This window comes from Homo sapiens, chromosome 5 (genome assembly GCF_000001405.40).
Source record: "Homo sapiens chromosome 5, GRCh38.p14 Primary Assembly".
NCBI lineage: Eukaryota > Metazoa > Chordata > Mammalia > Primates > Hominidae > Homo > Homo sapiens.
Window position 1 is genome coordinate 111,495,241 of NC_000005.10, and position 20,016 is coordinate 111,515,256.

General features: G+C 36.4%; 1 protein-coding gene and 1 long non-coding RNA gene across 15 annotated transcripts in view, besides 5 other annotated features; one reads left to right on the forward strand and one right to left on the reverse strand.

Moving 5' to 3' along the window:
- Nucleotides 1-792: 792 nt before the first annotated feature.
- Nucleotides 793-17,295, reverse strand: STARD4 (StAR related lipid transfer domain containing 4). Of its 14 annotated transcripts, NM_001308059.2 has the most exons (7): nt 17,145-17,295; nt 12,089-12,202; nt 11,090-11,139; nt 9,775-9,803; nt 6,722-6,848; nt 5,762-5,876; nt 793-4,866 (listed from the first exon to the last, which is right to left on the reverse strand). In NM_001308059.2, exons 5-7 carry the CDS (start codon nt 6,755-6,757, stop codon nt 4,646-4,648), a joined length of 372 nt encoding a protein of 123 aa, NP_001294988.1. In that variant the 5' UTR covers nt 6,758-6,848; nt 9,775-9,803; nt 11,090-11,139; nt 12,089-12,202; nt 17,145-17,295; the 3' UTR covers nt 793-4,645. The 14 variants fall into 14 exon arrangements, 11 of the variants coding, with proteins under 11 accessions (NP_001294988.1, NP_001294985.1, NP_631903.1 ...); NM_001308056.2 differs by lacking the exon at nt 9,775-9,803 and having other exon boundaries at nt 17,151-17,295; NM_139164.3 differs by lacking the exon at nt 9,775-9,803.
- Nucleotides 7,457-7,618: a silencer, noted in NCBI's record as "fragment chr5:110838395-110838556 (GRCh37/hg19 assembly coordinates)". NCBI's record gives its function as "represses an EF-1alpha promoter that drives an FKBP-Casp9 reporter gene in an ReSE screen in K562 erythroleukemia cells {active_cell/tissue: K562}" and the evidence as "EXISTENCE:reporter gene assay evidence [ECO:0000049][PMID:32094911]".
- Nucleotides 13,944-14,063: an enhancer, noted in NCBI's record as "active region_22898". NCBI's record gives its function as "activates an Ori minimal core promoter by ATAC-STARR-seq in GM12878 lymphoblastoid cells {active_cell/tissue: GM12878}" and the evidence as "EXISTENCE:reporter gene assay evidence [ECO:0000049][PMID:35858748]".
- Nucleotides 16,930-17,139: an enhancer, noted in NCBI's record as "active region_22899". NCBI's record gives its function as "activates an Ori minimal core promoter by ATAC-STARR-seq in GM12878 lymphoblastoid cells {active_cell/tissue: GM12878}" and the evidence as "EXISTENCE:reporter gene assay evidence [ECO:0000049][PMID:35858748]".
- Nucleotides 16,986-20,016, forward strand: part of STARD4-AS1 (STARD4 antisense RNA 1) — a 227,501-nt gene continuing 224,470 nt past the window's right edge. Inside the window, exon 1 of the long non-coding RNA NR_040093.1 lies at nt 16,986-17,268. This is a non-coding gene — a long non-coding RNA (STARD4 antisense RNA 1). The remainder of the gene's footprint in view (nt 17,269-20,016) is intronic.
- Nucleotides 17,170-17,539: a silencer, noted in NCBI's record as "silent region_16233". NCBI's record gives its function as "represses an Ori minimal core promoter by ATAC-STARR-seq in GM12878 lymphoblastoid cells {active_cell/tissue: GM12878}" and the evidence as "EXISTENCE:reporter gene assay evidence [ECO:0000049][PMID:35858748]".
- Nucleotides 17,620-17,759: an enhancer, noted in NCBI's record as "active region_22900". NCBI's record gives its function as "activates an Ori minimal core promoter by ATAC-STARR-seq in GM12878 lymphoblastoid cells {active_cell/tissue: GM12878}" and the evidence as "EXISTENCE:reporter gene assay evidence [ECO:0000049][PMID:35858748]".

Consider the following 20,016-nt stretch of genomic DNA (forward strand, 5'->3'; position numbering starts at 1 on the left):
CACTACCATTCAGGCTGCTATAATAAAATACCATAAACTGGGTGGCTTATCACAATTTATTTCTGACATTTCTGGCACAAGTCCAAGAACAGTCCTGCAGGTTTGGTATCTATGAGTGCCTGCTTCCTCACAGAGGATGCCTTCTTGCTGTGTCCTCATATGGCAGAAGGACCAAAGCATCTCACTTGGGCCTCTTCTATAAAGGTACTAATCACATTCATTAGGGTTACCTAATCAACTCTCAAAGCTTTTAAAACCATTATCTTAGAGGTTAGGATTTTAACATCTGCGTTTTAGGGGAACACAAATATTCAAACCATAGTACCAGATGTTTTATTAAATGAGGAAAGTAACTCCCTGCTTCACAGTCATATTTTCTATTACATACTTACCACAGCATCCCTAACTGCCTTCTTATAACATAGATCGTGGGTGTCCTTGTAATCACTTTTAGTTTTTTTCAATTCCAAACAAAATATCATAATTCCTAATCAAGGTAACACAATTATTTCAACATGTGTACAATAAATCCTGTCCATAATTTACAAAGGCACAATATATTATTTGTTCTGAATATATAATAGCAAATAAAGTTTCAGCAGTATTGTATAACAGCTAATATTATATGAGACACTGGCAGGAGAGATCAGCATGTGTGTTGTTAATTTGACTTTCCAGGTTTATATTTTCCTTTTGTAAGAATTCAGGAAGTTAAATTACATACTTTAAATTCAGGCATATGAAACTAAATAGTACTTAATGTTAAATTACAAAGATAATATCAATGACCAATTTTAAGAGTGTCTACAAATTTTTATTTTGTTTCATACCAATTTAAAAATAAATACATATTTTATTGATACTAATACATATTATTAGTTTAATAAATATTCTAGTTTTACATATTGGTTCACAAAAGAATTATATAAACTTCTTAAAAATAAAATCTATACTATAGCTTTTATTGAACTGCAAGAGATGAATTTTAATATTTAACTATACATGTAAAATCCGTAAAAACAATACAATAATTTAAAAATTATAGTTCCAACTTCCTGTTTTTTGAAATTATTCTGATGTTTCTTCTACACTCAAGTCCCAACCTTCTCTACTTCTAGAAGTTGAATAAGAAAGACATGGAAGATACAGCAGGCAGGCAACACAGGTTCTAGGGGAAACCTGATCAAGCCCTTAGCTTCTCTAGTTCTGTTGATTTCTCTACAGGGTAGGGATCACTACAGTCCCATTTAATTAAAAGAAACTGGATTTAAAACACCTGATTCTAAGGACGGTGGTACACTCTTGAGAAAAGAGTTAAAGCTTTTATTTGTATGAAAGGCAATTACTCAGCCCTAAAAGCTCAACAGACAATTAAGGGCTTAAATTATACAATGTTTTCCCATCTTCTCCAGATACAACCTCAATTACATAGTTTTTTAGCTTGAGATATTAATTGAATTCAGCATGATTGTTGATAAAATGCCCTTTGGTTAGAAAAGGAGGAGGAGAGAGAAGGGAGGGGAAGGAAAAAAATTCTATTAACTAGGAGATGTTGTACAGATAGAAATCTACAATTTCAAATATATCCAACCTGAATGAACACTGAAATAAAAAGATTTTTAAGATTTACAAGCTCCCTAGTACTTTAGCAATTTATCTTATAGATTAGTTAACTACAGAATACTAGATTCTCATTATTTTTTTTTGAGTACTGTTTTAAACTTTAAGGGTTAACTAAGAGTTATCAACACAAACTAATATTTCATGCAAAAGTATCACTTTTATAATAATCTTTTTCTTGTATGAAACTAATTTCCTTAAAAAATAGCTACTATATACTGAAAACAGTATTATGCCAAATATTTCCCACATACACAAGTTTCTAATACGTACTACCTACAAGCTACAGAATAGTCAACCATTTAACAAGAAGGCAGATTATATTCTTTCATTTCACCAACTGCCATATCAAAAGTTACTTATCTTTGAAGGAAAATATTTGCTGGCAATAATTTTATCTCATTGACAACTGATTTATATCTAAAGTTTAGATGTCCTATTTATCAAGCAATGAAGGCTCTAGAGACTAACAAAGATTTCCATTTAAGATATTATTCCGTATTATTGTCTATTTCATCTTACTACAAGACAAATTAATAAATATGCTATAGGACTGTGCTATTCAATACAGTATCCACTGGCCTCATGTGGCTAATGAGCACTTAAAATGTGGCTTGCCCAAATTTGTAAAATGCATACCAGATTTCAAAAAATTAGTACAAGAAATAGTACAAACTATCAGAATAAATCTTTACATCAATTACATGTTAAAATGATAACATTTTGGATGTATTGAGTTAAATAAAATATTAAAATTAACTTCAGCTGTTTATTTTTATTTTTTAATGTGGCTTCTAGAATTTTTTAATTACATATATCACTTACATTATTGTTCTATCCTACAGCATTGCTATAGAAGCAGCGGACTCAATTATTTATGTTAATATCCATCCCAACCCACATCATTAAGCTTTTTTATCATTATAGTATGAGATAACATATTTAATACATGATCACAAGATTCCTGAGCTTAGAATCATGAACACCTCCACTCTTAAAAATGAAACCAAACATAACCTGCTGTAATTATCCTGGCAACAGTGATAAACTTTAGATTTGTGTTAGGTATGAGTCTGCAAAAAAGACAAAAGGAATCTTTTGGAATGATGGAAACGTTCTAAATCCAGATTGTGCTGATGGCTGCATAGTTCTACATATGTATTAAAACATCACTGAATTAGATACTTAAAAGTGGGTAAATTACATAATATGTAAATTATATATCAATAAAGCTGTTTTTGTTTTTTTAAAGTACACAGCTAGAGCCCAGCAGATCTAAGGGGCCATCTAGAAGCTGCACATACATTTTAGGTGATTCAAACATAATTTTTAAATTCATCATTCTCACAGTGAAAATGTTTCCATGAGGGTAATTTTACCTAGAGTGGGTCCATGTTTAACGGTGAATTATGTAATTACTTATTGGAGGTATATGTTGATAAGGACAAAGAGAGCACTAGAGTAGAGATAGTGGGCAGTTTATTTGCTTTTAGGGACATCCAGTTCAGGAAATAATAGCCCTTATAGTAATGTGTACTATCTTGTCACAAATCCCTTACTCAAGTTAGGCACCTTTGGAATTTCACCATCCTAGATAGAACAGTAGAATATGAGACTTCCTACTCTACGCTAATAAAAACAAATAAAAAATAGATGAAGTCAAAACTAACATTTACCAATTTCCATGAGAAACTGAAACTAAACTACTGAGTTTTCTTTCACTATTGCAGAACAAAAAAAAAGAAGAAACCTAGTAATTCAAAAGTACATTCAATTTAGAAAAGGATCCTGGTAATTAATAAATCATTAAGAATATAGAATCCTTTGTGCATTCCTTCTGTCAGATCTTGATCAATCTAGATACTATGAGATAATTCACCATGAACATTGTGCTGCTGCCACCTTTTGTTTTTTGAAATCTATCATCACCAGTGGCAAAAAATAAATAAAAACAAAAGCAAAAAACAGCTCCACTGTTCCACTTTGTCAAAATGGGTATGAAGAACTTTGATTTATTCTTTCTTTACACTCAAGAAAACACAATAAAGTAAAACACAGATCAAACTACCATGCACTTGAAACACTATGTACCTTTCTGCATTTCATGTCTTGTTTAGCATGTATTTCAGGGCTCACTTTACCCATATTAACAACAACAAAACAGTAGACACAGGAATACTAACACATAAACAACTAACATTAAACACGGAAATGGATTTCGAGATGTGTGCATGTACACAAAAAAATATATACAAAGATTTGCCTGGATACCTGAATTGCCTCAAGTTCCCATTTTAGAAGTAAACTAGATGGAGAGTTCAAAACCCAAAGTCATTTAGAATGTGAAAATCATTTAGAAATTCTCACTTAAGGCACCCACAGAATTAGGGGACCCACAATACTCAATTCTAATCATTATAAAATGATATCTAGGCACTTGGGTAAATCTAAGACTGTATTTGTTCTAGTTACAGACTGATGCTTTTAAGAGTCTCAAGATAAGTCTTGGACACCAACTGAATTCCACATTTTAAATTGGGGCCAGGCATGGTGGCTCACGCTTATAATCCCAACACTTTGGGAGGCTAAGGTGGGGAATGACTTGAGGCCAGGAGTTCAAGACCAGCCTGGGCAACACAGTGTGACCACATCTCTACAAAAAATTAAACAAAAATTAGCCATGCATAGTGGCGTGCACCTGTATTCCCAGCTATTCAGGAGGCTGAGGTAGAATAACCCCTTGAGCGGTCAGATCAAAGCTGCAGTGAGCTGTGATCATACCACTGCCCTCCAGCATGGGCAACAGAGTGAGAGCCTGTCTCAAAATTTAAAAAAAAAAAAGTGAAAATGCCCTCTCTTAGATAGCTATTTACTTTAGGAATAAAACCAAACATTGTACTAGTGAACCAAAAACATTTCAAATTTTTCTACCGGCTATGCAGAAAAGTGGAATCAATGATTTTTACAGGCCATGTAGCTGAGAGAGTTGATCTGTAGTACTACAAGTTTGAATGTATTTTGCCTCTCATAAAGCTTTTCGTAAATCACCATAGAAGTTGGTTAAAGTGCTTGCCATGGCTGTATCTACCGCAGACTGAGGAATCATCCCACGCAGATCTGTCTGAATATATCCTGTCAAAAGACTCTGGTTTGGGTTGTCTTTAAGTGGAACACAAAACCAACCACAGGGATGGTTATATCCTCGAACAAATTCTGGTCTCTTTTCATCCCAGTCAAGACTTATTCCTATAAGGCAATTTTTAAAATAGCACTATTAATAGCAATAACTGACATAAAACTCTCATTTTAAAATATTACCAGAATTCTTATTTAAATATTTATTATTATCCATATAGATGAAAATTAAATCCCAAAGTGACCATGGCAGAGTGAAAAAGAGACTTACCAAGGAGAATTCTGACAAGAGGTTGGCAGATAGGTAATGGGGAAACTTTTAATCCTTTCAGAATACATGACATCATATCATCTTAGTACTCCTTGGAAGCTACAAATCTTGGTTGTAGTATCCAGGCCTTGAGGTGCCAAAAATCAAATCCATGGTACCGTAACTATTCCCCACAGCGACTACCATATTATAGTTTGGTACTGGCTAGTTAAGAATAAACAAGTAGATGTTTACTTACAACTGCTAACTTAAGTATACACTATATACAAAATAATATTAATTTACCTATAGGTACGTTTTAGAAAACAGGAGCCTTCCAATGGCAGTATTTTTAATCTTGAAAAGAAAAATACAACACAGCTCAAGGAAGGAAGAATATTCTAAGACACACCAAATCTAGTACTTCTCTGTGTATGACCAAGAAACTGTTTTCTGAGAGTGGCTTAGAAGAAAATCCATTTACTAGAACCCTTTCTTAGAGGCAGTCATGTGATCCACATTTGCTACCTCTGACCTAGAGGATACTGTGTAACTGGGAACAAAAACTTATCAGAAGGGTTTCAAAACTCTTTTGATATTGCTATTTTACTCCCTAGAGTTTAGCACTTGCAAAAAATGTTAGTGATTACAGAGTCAGAGTTGAAAATATATCTCACAAGGAAAGAGACATCCAGCCAAGAAAACACAAATATTTAAACCATACTGAAAAAAAGCATAACATGTTGAGATTATTACCACAAGATAAAAGCCCTTCTTTATAGCCCACAGTATAGGAGAAATCAACAAATTCTCTTGGGGAAATTATATTCCAAAGCTGACCAGCAGTAGTGTAACGCATCACACAGCAATTCTGAAAAAGAAGAGATAAGACAAGTGTTACTACTATAGGAAACATACATAGCTTCATATATCATAAACTTATCTCTGGAAAGAAACTAATATTTATTTAAAATGTTTCATAATTATAATAATTCTTACACTGATTCTGACAGGTCTAGATCTCTATTCTAAATCTCACTGCTATTGGATGGCCATGAAGAAGATATATAATCAAAATACAGAGGTACAAGTTATCCAGTATCCAAATATCTAATTAAATGCAGTTGTCTTATTCTACATAACATTCCAAATGGAATTAGGGATGTAGACTGTTTCAGTGTTTAAGATCAAATCCACAAATACTTTGACTGCAACATCAAACATTTTAAGTAAAAAATTCAAACATTAAGCAATGAATTAATAAAAATAGAAACAGGGCAGGTCATTTTGGCTATATAATTTTAGAATATCTAAGGTGGCATTTTTATCTTTGGTCATTGATGTTGGCTTAGTATTAATGGAAAAGCTGCACACATTCACCTAGAAACCTAAATATGATGGTGGTGTTTTCAGAATTTTAGATTTCAGAATCTTAACTAAAGTTTTACAATGAAGGATGCTGAATATAGTTTTAAGCAGCAAGGGTATAGGTACTGTGGAAAAGAAACTCAGTCTAACACTCATTAATTAGTATGAGGAAACACAAACTTTTTAAGAGGCAGCATGGGACTCCCCTGTGATATCTTTGTCGTGACTGCTATTCTCAAAGCAATGAATATAAGTGTGTACAAATGCTCATGCTCACATGCTCTGGCTCACTCATGCCCTCCCTCATGCACATACACACAGTCTAAAGTAATGTTTCTAAATAGATACCTCTTCAAAGTTCTCCAGAATATCCAAAGAAGTCATCAAGCTGTCCCAATCCAAACGACAAGGCCCTGGGCGTATATGGTCTATTATACTATAGACAAGGTCATCTATAACACCTTGGGCTTTGTAGCTGGAGAAAAAAAGTTTAAGTCAACCGCTGTTACAATAAAAAAATTTCAGCATACCCTTATAGTGCATAGCTAACTTTGAAAGTAAGGAAAAAAATTAGGCCGGGTAGGGTGGCTCATGTCTGTAATCCCAGCATTCTGGGAGGCTGAGGTGAGTGGATCACTTGACGTCAGGAGTTCAAGACCAGCCTGGCCAACGTGGCAAAAACCTGTCTCTACTAAAATTACAAAAATTAGCCAGGCATGGTGGCATGCGCCTGTAGTCCCAGCTAGTTGGGAGGCTGAGGCAGGAGAATCACTTGAACCCCGGAGGTGGAGGTTGCAGTGAGCCAAGATCATGCCACTGCACTCCAGCCTAGGTGACGGAGTGAGATTCCATCTCAAAAAAAAAATAAAAATAAAAGAATAAAAATTAGTGAAGGGTGGGCCAGGCATGGTGGCTCATGCCTGTAATCCCAGCACTTTGGGAGGCCAAGGTGGGCAGATCACCTGAGGTAGGGAGTTTCAGACCAGCCTGACCAACATGCAGAAACCCAGTCTGTACTAAAAATACAAAACTATCCAGGCATGGTGGCTCCTGCCAGTAATCCCAGCTACTTGGGAGGCTGAGGCAGGAGAATCGCTTGAACCTGGGAGGCGGAGGTTGAGGTGAGCCGAGATCACGCCATTGCACTCCAGCCTGGGCAACAAGAGTGAAATTCCATCTCAAAAAAAAAATAATAATAATGAAGGGTTTTTTTTTTTCTAAAGGGAATAAATCCCAATAACTTTTCTGATAAATTACATTCTACCGGTTACTGTTATCAGCATGTACCCTTCGTCCTCAAATCTAATAAGAGAACTGAGGGCTATACTACGTGTCATAATGAAGATAATAAAGTCCCTTCATGTAATAACATAGCCAAAAACAGTTTATAGAATGCCATAAGGTTTCCACTTATTTTTATATTCTTTCCTCAGTTATCCTCTGACATACTAGTACATGAATATTTTTACCCTGACTTTTTAAAACTTTTTATTAGGAACAGAGAAATAGGCCAATAGAACAGAACACCAAGGAACTGACTCATAAATATGTCAGAACTTGACATATTTCAAAGGCAGCATCACTTATCAGTGGGGAAAAATGTACAATTCCATAAATGGTGTGCCTAGATTCAATAGTTATCCTTATGGAGAAAATAAAACTTAGATTCCTATTTCTACCACTCATAATAATTAATTCCAGATAAATTAAATATCTGTGTAAAACATGTAAAATGGGCCAGGCGCGGTGGCTCATGCCTGTAATCCCAGCACTTTGGGAGGCCGAGGTGGGCGGACCACGAGGTCAGGAGATTGAGACCATCCTGGCCAACATGGTGAAACCCCGTCTCTACTAAAAATACAAAAATTAGCTGGGTGTGGTGGCGCATGCCTATAGTCCCAGCTGCTTCGGAGGCTGAGGCAGGAGAATAGCTTGAACCAGGTAGTCGGAAGCTGCAGTGAGCTGAGATTGCGTCACTGCACTCCAGCCTGGCGACACAGCGAAACTCCGTCTCAAACAAACAAACAAAAAAACACATAAAAGGAAAAACTTTAAAATTTTGAGAAAAATATACAAGATACCATTTTTGTGACCTCAGAGTACAGGGGGATTTCTTGAATATGTAAAACACAGAAAAACACAAATAATACAAAAGATCAATTAAAATTAAAAACATGCATACCACACAAGAAAAAATAAGTCATTTTTTAAAACTAGCCACACACTGGGAGAAGGTAGTATAACACATATAAACAGAGAATTATTATACAGGATATATGAATAACTCCTATAAACCAATGAGAAAAAGAAAATCCAAAGAAAAGATGTGCAAAGGACATGGTAAGACTGACCTGAAATGTCAAGAAATATACAAAAGATTTCAACTTCACTAGTAATCAAGTAAATACTAACAAGAACAATCTGATTAATACCTCTCAGACTGACAGAGATTAAAAACTCGTAAGTAGTGAATGGAGGGGGATGAGAATCCTGAAACTGCTACTTTAGAGAGCAAGTTGGTAATGTCTAGTAAGGTTGGAAGATATACATCCCTAAGACCCAAAGAAAATTACACGTGTGCACAAAGAGATATATACCAAGAGGTTTACTATCGCATTGTACTTTATAGAGAAAAATTGACAACAGCCTAAAAATCTATCAATAGGTGAATCTACAAACATAGATAAAAACATTGTGGTATATTCACATAGAGGGAAAATAATGGATTTACATATGACAACATGGCTAAATCCTGAGAACATAATATTTAATAAAAAAAGGCAAATTACTAAATAAAATATGTACATACAAAGACATACACATGAATATAAAAAACACACCAAATAATGCTTTTCATTGTTTATGGATATATAAATATATGGTCAAAGTATGAAACAGGAACAACACACATAACTTCAGGACAGCAGTTACTTCTGGAGATGAAAGAAAGGAGATGAAATAAGAAACTAGCTTCAGCTCTATCAGTACCTTTTTTTTAAAAAAGCATGTGAAGCTATTTAATCATTTTATAACTCAAGCCAAACTTATATTATCTCCCCCACCATAAATCTGCTCTCTCATCTTGTATTCTTTAACTTGGGGTAGAAGGAGGTAAAACAAATTAATCTAGTCAAATTAGAAAATCTTAGATTCAACTATGGCTCTTCTTCTTCTCTTAACCCCATTTCCATAGTCAGAACTTATCAGTCACTATGGTTTTATCAGGACGATTTCCTAAATGTAAAGTACTTAGAACAATATTTGGCTCTCAATAAACGTTGGTTATCATTGCCACCACCATCGCTATCATTAAATCTTTCACATGCATTTGCCCTTTTTGACTTCTGTGCTGCGGCCTCAGTTACAGCACTTTGTGTCCAACTCAACACATCAGGTCCTACCTCTTTTGATCACATATCCCTTTAAGACTCTGAAAAAAAAAAAACCAGTGTTTCTCATATGTGTTTATGCAGTAGATATGCAATTCCTTCTGCCTAGAACATGAACTCTTTCATTCCTTAAGAAATACTTATTCTTCCCTTAAGTGTTAGCTCAAACATTAGTTCTCTATGAAGTCTTTTCAGATCTCCAAGCATAAAGCTCCCTTGACACTCGTGATATTTTCAACCCTCACTGGGAATTACTAATTTAAAGAATTAACTTCCATACTTGCTTACAATGCTTAATCCAACTCCAATTTCCCTGTCCTCATCATAAATATTGTAAAATTCATCTTTCTGGAAATGTTATCTTTGGCATTACACTTCAGAACATTCTGTATATACTAACAGGGTCCAGCAGTTTTATTTTGAAAAATGGCTGAGTCTTAAGGATGTGAACATTCTACTCCAAGTATGCAAGGCAGTTGTCTCTACAAGCTTTAAAAAACAATATATTATTTTCTTATGTTATTAAATAATCTTCAAAAATGTGGTTTTTAAAGGCTATAGCATATTCTATCACAAATGTTTCCTACTGAATTGTCTCCTCCTATTGATTATTCAGGTTTATAATTTTTAATATTATAAATAATGCTGTGATAGAAGAGCAAGTACTTAAATCACTGTTATCTTTCTGATAAATTCTTCAAGATAAGTTCCTAAGATAAAATGTTCTACAGCACTGAGTAAATGTAGAATATTAGAAGGGTCATGTATACAATGCTAAGAAATTCAGATTTTAGCAGTCATTTTATATCATTATTTATGACCTCCTCACCACCAACTCAGTCTACAAAGGACACGGACATTTTTAAGGCTCTGAATTCATAAGCCCAATTTGCTTTCCGGAAAGTTAAAAAAAAATCGCCAGGTGTGGTGGCTCATGCCTGCAATCCCAGCAATTTGGGAAACCAAGGCGGGATGTCAGGAGCTCAAGACCAGCCTAGCCAAGATGGTGAAACCCCATCTGTACTAAAAACTACAAAAAAAGTTAGCCAGGCACAGTGGCAGGTGCCTGTAATCCGAGCTACTCGGGAGGCTGAGGCAGAAGAATCGCTTGAACCCGGGAGGCAGAGGTTGCAGCGAGCCGAGATTGTGCCACCGCACTCCAGCCTGGGTGACAGAGTGAGACTCTGTCTCAAAAAAAAAAAAAAAAAAAAAAAAAGTTAAAGAACTCTTAAAAAGCTAAATCTTACTAGCAATGACTACTTAGTGACAATGGATATAAGTTTTGAAATGTCTTAAGAGCTGTGTAAGTCTATAAAAAGTTACTTACAGATATCCATTAAATTCTTCTGAGGGTTTTCTCCAAACAGTTACATCTTTCTAGAAAAATAAAAACATTATATGGTAATAATTGCATAGGTGGAACCCTAGACACAAAACTGATAATTTTATAAGTCTATAGAATTTGTCTTTGCATTAAAATAAAACCAGTACATTTTCAGAATACATAAAAGTCATCTATACCATAAAAGGATTTGTATTTGAATTTCTTCTGTATCCTAAAGTTCTTCACATTGTACTTAAATTACAGACCTCCAAAGAATATTTTCAGTAGTATTTAATGATATCCAAACACTGTAAGATTCAATGATGGCACTATCTTAGTCCAATCTTATCTATTTACCATTACTGATGCATTCAGACTCTAACACTAGGAACACTATTTCATTCTGACATTGTTCATAACTTTTAAAAAATTAAACAATTCACATTTATTACGACAGTGTTAACATGAATTTGTCCCTACATTTTTTCCTCATCATTTCCCAAGTAATTCTGAATATCAGAATAGCTAGAGCACTTAACTAGAAGTGTCCTGGGTTCTAGAATTAGTTCTAGCAACACTCAAGTCACCTATGTAATAGTTTGGGCAAGTCACATTAGTAAAAAGGAATACTAACTAGCTACCTTCATAGGCTTTTTGATATACCTGAAACTATTCCAAACTCTCAAGTACTACACTTTCTTAAATTAATAATGATACATTTTATTTGCTGACTTAAGAGGCCATTCTTTAGGTTCTAGTTGCCATGAGCCTATTCTCTTGTCTAATATCCAAAGAGCTAATGAAAGCAGTATAGGATTACCACTGATGCATTTCTTCCTCTGTGTGACATTAGACTATCAACTTTATTAGCTCAATTATTTTTCTTGCATATCCATCCAAAGTATGGTCTTTGTCCATATTGTTCCATTTAATTTTAAAAGTCATCAACCAATTCATTAGATAGAAGATATACCCCAAATATAAGTAATTGAACTAATTTACCGTTTTCTTAGCAACTCGCCACTTATCTTCTTCAATGCTATGGTACTGGATGAGAGTGTTTTTAAGTTTAGTTGCAAAAGAAGCAACATCAGACAGGCCTTCCATTACTTCTCTCTGTTATGGAGACCAAGATTAGCATCAGCAAATACCACAGTTTGAGGCAATAGGCCAGTGGGTCTCGAATCTGGTTTCACAATATAATAACCTACCAGAGCTATAAAAGATAGCTACCCTCACCCCAAATCAACTAATCATAATCTCTGAGAGTAGGACCCGGGCATAGTTTTTTTCTAATTGCTCCCAAGATGAATAACCCATAGCCAGAGGTGAGAATTACATATTTTTTACAATTAAAATCACTCATACAGAAAGTAGAAGAGAAGACAGGAGGAAGGGGAAGCAATTGTATCTCATATATAGATATGCTGTTAACTCTCAAACATTTACCTCCAGTCCTCTTTGTTTCAATGAGCTCAAAAATCCCAGATCCAGAAGCCTACTTAAAGCTTCAAGCCTAAAGGGAATCTCTTGCCTCCCCTGGCTTCCCTCAATTTGTCACAGTATTCCTCATTTTAACAATTTACTATTAAAATGGCAATTGAGCCCAAGTTCTCAAGTCAAAAGGCTTGGAATTGCCCTTAATAAGAATAGGTTCCTTTTAACACCATCATACCTCATTGTCTACAGTATTCTACACTGGTTTTCTTTCTGTCCCTCAAACAGGCTAGCTTATCGCTGACTTGTGGTCTTTGATACGGCTAGATCCCAAATCTTAGCATCACTAATAACAATGTAATGCCAATTTCAGTTTAAACCTCCTATCCTTCATAAAGCCTTCTTAAGTTACTATTACATCGTTATTTTCTTCATAGTGCTTATCATTATCTGACAATATAATAACTTATTTATAGGTGTATGATTCTACTCTTTGACCACCTCATTCCTAACTAATAGCATAGAGGTCCTTTTCTTATTCACCACTATAACTCCACCACCTAGAACACTGCCTGGCACATAGTAGGCCCTTATTTTGTTGATATGTTATTGTCTCAAAACAAGAATTACTTGGTCTTTGTCTTCTTTTGGTGCCAGGGCACCAATTTCTTAGCATAATTCCTACTTTTCACTATTCTATCTCTATTCCTCCCATCTTCAGTAAAAGGCTAAAGAAGAAAAGAGTTTTAGGGGTAAAGTTGCCCATTACAGAACCATCAAATTGCTGGAAAGGAGGTCAAGAAAACATCTAAATGAAATCTCCTAATCTAAATGAAATCACCCTCTATGGGAATAAGGCTGCAGTTGTCAACTATGGATGCACACATCAGAATCACCTTTTTATGCTTTGTACTAGTTGTCGCTGCTTTTAGGTGTTAGATTTTAGGGCCCAGTGCCAAATAGTCTAATTCAGTGGCTTTGTTCTGGAATGGGCCTCAGAAATGTAGGTCCTTTAAAATAGTCTCACTAATTATTCTGTTGTCTAGCCAGAGATCAGAACTAACTGATCTAAAAATTAAAGTGACAGAAATAAATTAAGGTTGTAGCCAATATTTAAATACCACTAATTAGAGCATATAAGCCATTAAAATTTATAAATACTAAAATTATGTAGAAACATGGGAAAGTATACAAAGAAAATTCAATATAACTTTTAGGATCTATGTAAGTGATGCAAAATATATAATAAGTATAGATCCAATCCACGGATGAAAAGTTGATGAGCTCATTCAAAAAGTCTCTCAGTCAAGAATATACCTAATTTCCATTCAAGAGGCTGTCAACTTGATAGCCAGTTCAATAACTTTATTCAAGAGTATGCCACAAACAAGCAGAAGTTCTTGCAGAAGGCTTGTAAAAGAGATTTAATTTATCTATTACAGGGATCACTATGATTAAACATATTCTTTAAACCCAAAGGTCACCTGCTAGGTTCCTGTGGTTGGCAGATAAGAGTATTTATGCAAAACTTTTTGATAGAAATCAAAGGTGAAACAGAAAGTTATTATTATCATAAGCAAACATTATCACTGGGCAAATCCAGTGCACGGAAAGTTACCTAGAAAGCTAGCTACCTAGAAGAGATGAGAATCTGCAACTTTAAGGTACTTGACTTAGTAATTCATACTGATCAGTATAAAGTTCAAGCTCCTTACTATAGCTTACAGGCCCTTTTATAATGTGGCATATTTTCATTACCTAATTTCCACTTATCTTTCCTGGATTCCCCTGAACCTGGGTTAGTTCCCCCTCCAATATTTTCTGACAGCAACTCTGTACTGTAATTATTCACTTGTTATCTTCTCCCGTTTAACTGTAAAATCTTTGGGGGGTAGGAAATCTGGCTTGTTCAATATTAATTCTCCTTACGTCTAGCACTCAGTAGGAACACAGTGAATAAAAAATGGAAAAATGTATAGACAATAAGCTACCATTCTCACTTATGGAAGACCTCAAGATATCTAAAGTATGCCCATTTACGCCAATCCTAGAGCTTCTGAATAACTAAAACTTCCTTTACCATAATGAAACACCATTTCTCAAGAAGGACTACTATTAAATATTTATCAAGCATCTATTATATACCAGGTCCTAGAACTACAGAAACAGATGGAATTCAGATTTTACTCTCAAATTGACTTATTCCACCCTTAAGCTTTAACAGAAATAACAACAACAAAAACTAAAACATTAAAAAATTCTATTAATAGCCTTTTTAAGAGTGGTGCAGTGGGAGGTAGGAAAGGAAGAGAAAGAAGTACAAAATCAGAAAGCTCTCTCTGATTAAATATGTCCAGCAATGTATTTAACCAAACAGTTAAGTCTTGCATGGATTATTTTCATCAAGATTAAGTCCATAATGAAATAATCATTGCCATCAAAACTGCTACCTCTGTGTAAACAGGCATAATTGAGCATTTCTCAAAATATTAATATATTCTAGAACCAAGAGGGTTGGGGGAGATGGGTTATCAAGGTCTTGGCTCTCTCTCCTAATATAACAGGGTACTGACATTAATTGAGAGGAAAACACCTAATTTGCCCTCCTGCAATCTCCAACTGTGGAGAATGTCAGGTAAATGTTTTAAATGCCATTCTGAACCCATTCTGAACTTCCTTTTACTAATTCAGTCTTTTATTCCCTTATCTTGACCTTATATCAGGAAATTATCCAACTCTAACATTTACACGTCAGAGAGAACAGGCACCACTTAACCTTATCAGAATATAATAGGTTCATATAAAAGATTTTATACTCTTGTCAGTCCCATGGCCAAATGCTGAGTAATGTCCACCTCCATGTTTTTCCTTTAATCTTTTTGTTCATGTTTTCTATGCCCATGCTTTTGAAGCTATCACTAGTGGTGATAGTGGCTGCCATCATAGGGAGGGCAGCTGTCTCAAGTTACTTTTCTTGAGGCCATCTATCAGCACCATAGTCTTGACCAATCCAACTCCAATTATTCTCAAATATCTGTCACAGTGAGATGGCATAGGTTCTATTTTAAATATGGAACATAATAAAACATTTAACCTGTAATGTAAAGTGAATGCCATAAAAATCTGTTTGGACTTTTGTAGTACGACTAGGTCAGAATTCACTTGTTAAAGAAATGCAGGTATCAGAACGGTCTAACCTTGCATTACTTGATTAATATGGTTTTCACTTCCGTCAACAGCTTCAGTTTAACATGCCATGGACTTTCCCCAATGTCATACAAACCAAAGCTTTGTAAATTAAATTATATTTTCTAACTAACATAAAAATTTCAGCATATGCTTGATTTCCAATCAATGTTGAACTGTTAAGTTTTCTAACTCAGACAAGTACAGCAGCTTCTCATTTTTTGAGACTGGCTCTGGCAGGAGCTCACTATTTAAAGAAATGCAACATGGAAGTATATTTCTACAATATGAATAGTGAGCCAACTTACTGTTCAAACCCCTAATGCTCTAATACTTGATTAAAAAAAAAACCTAATGCTCTGTACTTGATTTTAAAAAATAACAATAACATTTATTGATCACTTACTACATGGTCAGTCCTTCTGGCTGCTTTACATTGCATTTATTTTATTTAATCCTCACAACAGTAATAGTCCTCCTTGAGAAAATGTGTTTCATTATGGTAAAGGAATTTTAGTTATTCAGAAGCTCTAGGATTGGTGTAAATGGGCATACTTTAGATATCTTGAGGTCTTCCATAAGTGAGAATAGTAGCTTAATGTCTATACATTTTCCCTGTTTTACAGAAAGGGAAAATAGCAACAGGAAGGTTGAGTCACTTGTCCAAGATCACACAGTTCATAAGTGATGGAGCCAGAATTCCAACCCAGGGCGTCTGACTTCAGAGCCTAAAGCTCTCTCTTGTAAAACTGTGGAAGCTGATCACAGGCTGGAAAAGACTTCATATAAAAAACCTGGGCCCACCAAATATTTGTCAAGTTTTGTCCTGGCTGCTGAACCTAAAAATCTAAGGTAATCTTTCTCAAGTGTAAATTCGGGAAAACAATGACACTGATTTGGTGAGAAATTATTTGAGTTAATACATTTAGCAGGGACCTTGGAAGGCAGTAAGCCCTGGGAAAACTTTGTCTCTTGTCTTTGGCATCACCTCCGCGAAGCCTGGTGGGACGCGGCTGCCCCTGCGCTGTCTGTGCACCTCCTAAGAACCAGGAAGCGCGGTGACCTCCAAAGAACAGGACTGTCCCAAATCAAGCGGGATTACCACCGCCCCTCTCCCATTTAACAGCTGAGGACACTGAGGTCTAATGGATTCCAAGTACTTAAATAGGTGAGCGGCGCGCAGGGGCGAGTTGCAAGCCCTGGGATCCTTCCAGCTCGCCGCTTCCCCTCCCAGGGGCTCAGGTTTCTCTTTCATCTGTGAGGTCCTCTCCCGCCCGGACGCCGGGGCCCGCCATCCCCAACGTCCACCGCGAGCTCCCCAGATCCATGGTCTGGAGCAGGTCCAGAAGACGCACCTGGCAGGACGCCCCGGGCGCCACAGTCGCCCTCCACACGGGCCACCCCAATCCTGCCGCGGCTCCGTGGCTCTCCTTACCTTTACCTGAGGTGAAGCAAGGACGTGGAAGCAGCTACGGCGCGCTACCAAGCACCTCACACCGCTCTCAACAGTACTGCTCAGCCTCCCGGCCCGCCGATGCGCAGGCGACAGCAGCCAACTTGTAAGTCACCGCTGGTCGCAGCCAACTGGAAGGCACCCAGCGCCTCAGGGCAAGGCGGGCCGAGCCCCCAGCCCCGCCCCCTGGCCCGATCCCGGGGGCTCCGGGGAGGGGGGGCTGAGAGGAGGTGGCCGGAACAACGTGCGCTTGTTCGGATTGGCTGGCGCGGGAGCGTGTGGAGGGCTGATTGGTGGCCGATAAATGGAATGATTCCGCGTGGGTGTGGGCTGGCCCGAGCCGCGCCAGGGTTCCCTGGATGTCTGGGGTTGCCTGCAGGTTTGGATTGGTTGGGTTGGGTTGTCCTGTGATCACTTAATTGTGAAAGAATTTTGTCAAGCAGTAAACCGACTGGGAGAAATTGAAACAGAAGGCGAAGTGAAGGATCACAGTGAGGGATAAGGTCCAAATTCATCCCGCTTGTGGATATCCTAGTATCTCGCAACTACGCTACTCCTCCCAGGACTAAAAGTCAAATAAGAAAAAGCGCCCATGCAGAGGAGGACGAGCTCTCTGCCTCCTGCTTAGCCTGACTCAGAACTGAGAGAGCTGGGAAGGAAAATGCATATAAACGAAAGTCCCTGCCACTATGTGAATTGACCTTTAGCCAAATACGTTTGTGTGTGTGTGGGTGTGGGTGTGTGTGGGTGCGTGTGTGTGTTTCCATCCTCAGATAAAGAGTTTAGAGGGCAACCTTAGAAGCAGAGAAAAGGAGGAGGTGTGACAAGTGGATTTAGCAACTGCACAGTTTTGGAGTTTCCATCTACTCGAACATGAGAAAGATTTCTTCCAGTGGCTGTGAAGTCACCCATCTGATGGGATGCTTGGCAAACAGTGAATTTCTTCCTTTACCAGAGTAGCCATGATGCACTGATTAGCGAGGCTTGGTTTGTCTGCAAATTGCGTTTACTAAGATACGTAGTTTGAGAACCAAAAGCAGGGAAGAATGCAGTGCTACACCATTAGTGATTTCTGATAGACTTGCAATGAAAATAAATAATATTTCGTAAATTTTTAAGTCGGCCTCACCAAAAGAATTACCAAATACTACTTGCTAGTTATTATTGGCCGATTTATTTTTTACCTCCATCGTTTATATGTAAAATAATTTGTTTTATATTTATATTTATAATTTCGTGTGACATAATAGAAGAGTTCTTCGTGTGTTGTAAAGCTCCTTTCACTTAGGAATTATTGGCCAATTATTGAGGTGCTTTGGATGGATGGATGAATACGTAGATAAATAATTTGAAATGGTTGGGGAAAAGTGCTTTGTAATTAAGTTGTACCTACTTAATTCAATTACATTGAATCCTCTTAACAGCCCCCTAAGGTAGGTGTGTTTTACAGGCGAGGAGCCCCAGACATAAATCTTAAGGCAGGTTGCTTAATTACTGAGTGGAGAAACTGGAATTTGGCTGAGGTCTGCTGGACTCTGAAACTGGGCTCTTAGTCTCCATAAAATTCAGATGGTGCTTGGTAGCTCTTTGTCAAGGCACCTGTGAAGACCACTGGGACCATAAATGAAAGGCCTAATTCCTACTGTGAGGGTTTACACAGGTTTAATGGTGGAGAGGAATAAATCCACGTATCTATTTCAAAAAAGTAAAAAAGTTGTATCTGTCATTATTAGGATTCAGTTCTGGATACTTTGCTCAACAGTCTATATATTCTCTTGCAGGATGGTGTAAAACATGTTTAAAACAAAATTAACTTGGCTTTTTTTTTTTGGACGGCGGGAGTCATTACATCACACTTATGCCCCCATGGGATTTCTTATCTTCCAGCCAGTTTCTGGGAGGTTTTTGTTTCTTTTGCTTTTGTTCTTCATCTGTTGCCATTTTTCTTGGTTAGAATGAAGTTTGGGTAATTGGAAGCCACTCTATCAAAGTGGAATGCTACTAACAGCAAAGCTTCAGATTCAGAAATACATATACAAATACATCATCTGGAGCTATTTTTGAGGGTTTAGTATGGTCCAAACACAGTGCTAAGCATTTTACATTTTACAGCAATGCCTGAAAATAGGCATGTACTATTACTATTTTCATTATACACATGAGAGAACTGTAGTATGTAACACAACAGATAGATCTCCCCTACAAATAGTTTGAAAATGGGAAAATAAGGTCTCCATCTAGAATTCAAATATAAAAGAGGCATATAATGAATTTGATCAGCTAAATGGAAACTTAACCTAAAGAGACAAAACAACTGCCCTGCCAAGTCCTGACTATAATCTGACTGAATATAGTAACACATCTAAAGAAAGAATTTTCAAGAAGAAAAACATTAAAAATTCCAAAACACAGAAATAATATATCCACAATTTCTAACCTGGGCAATAAATCTAGAAGTAAGCAAAGCAAAAACACGCTCACAAATATCCCCAACTACTTGAAAATTTCTAAAAATCTGTCCCCAAACACATTGGTTTAAGAGAAAAATCAAACATTACATGCTGAAGAATATTAATAAAAATATTTTAAAATATTAATATTAATAATAAAAATCAAAACACTATATATCAAAGCCAGAGAACAGAACAAATTTCAATTCAGGAAAATTCATAGCCTTAATTTAATTCAACAAATATTTATTAGTTGTTTGCTACCTGTACCAAGGACTGTGGGTATAGTGTATCTTAACAGAGAGCTATTTATTTGCTAATAGAAGAAACTCAACCTGAATTAAGCTAAAAAAAATGTGTTAAAAGGATATAGAAATGTCTTATAAAAATTTGATACTGAAAGT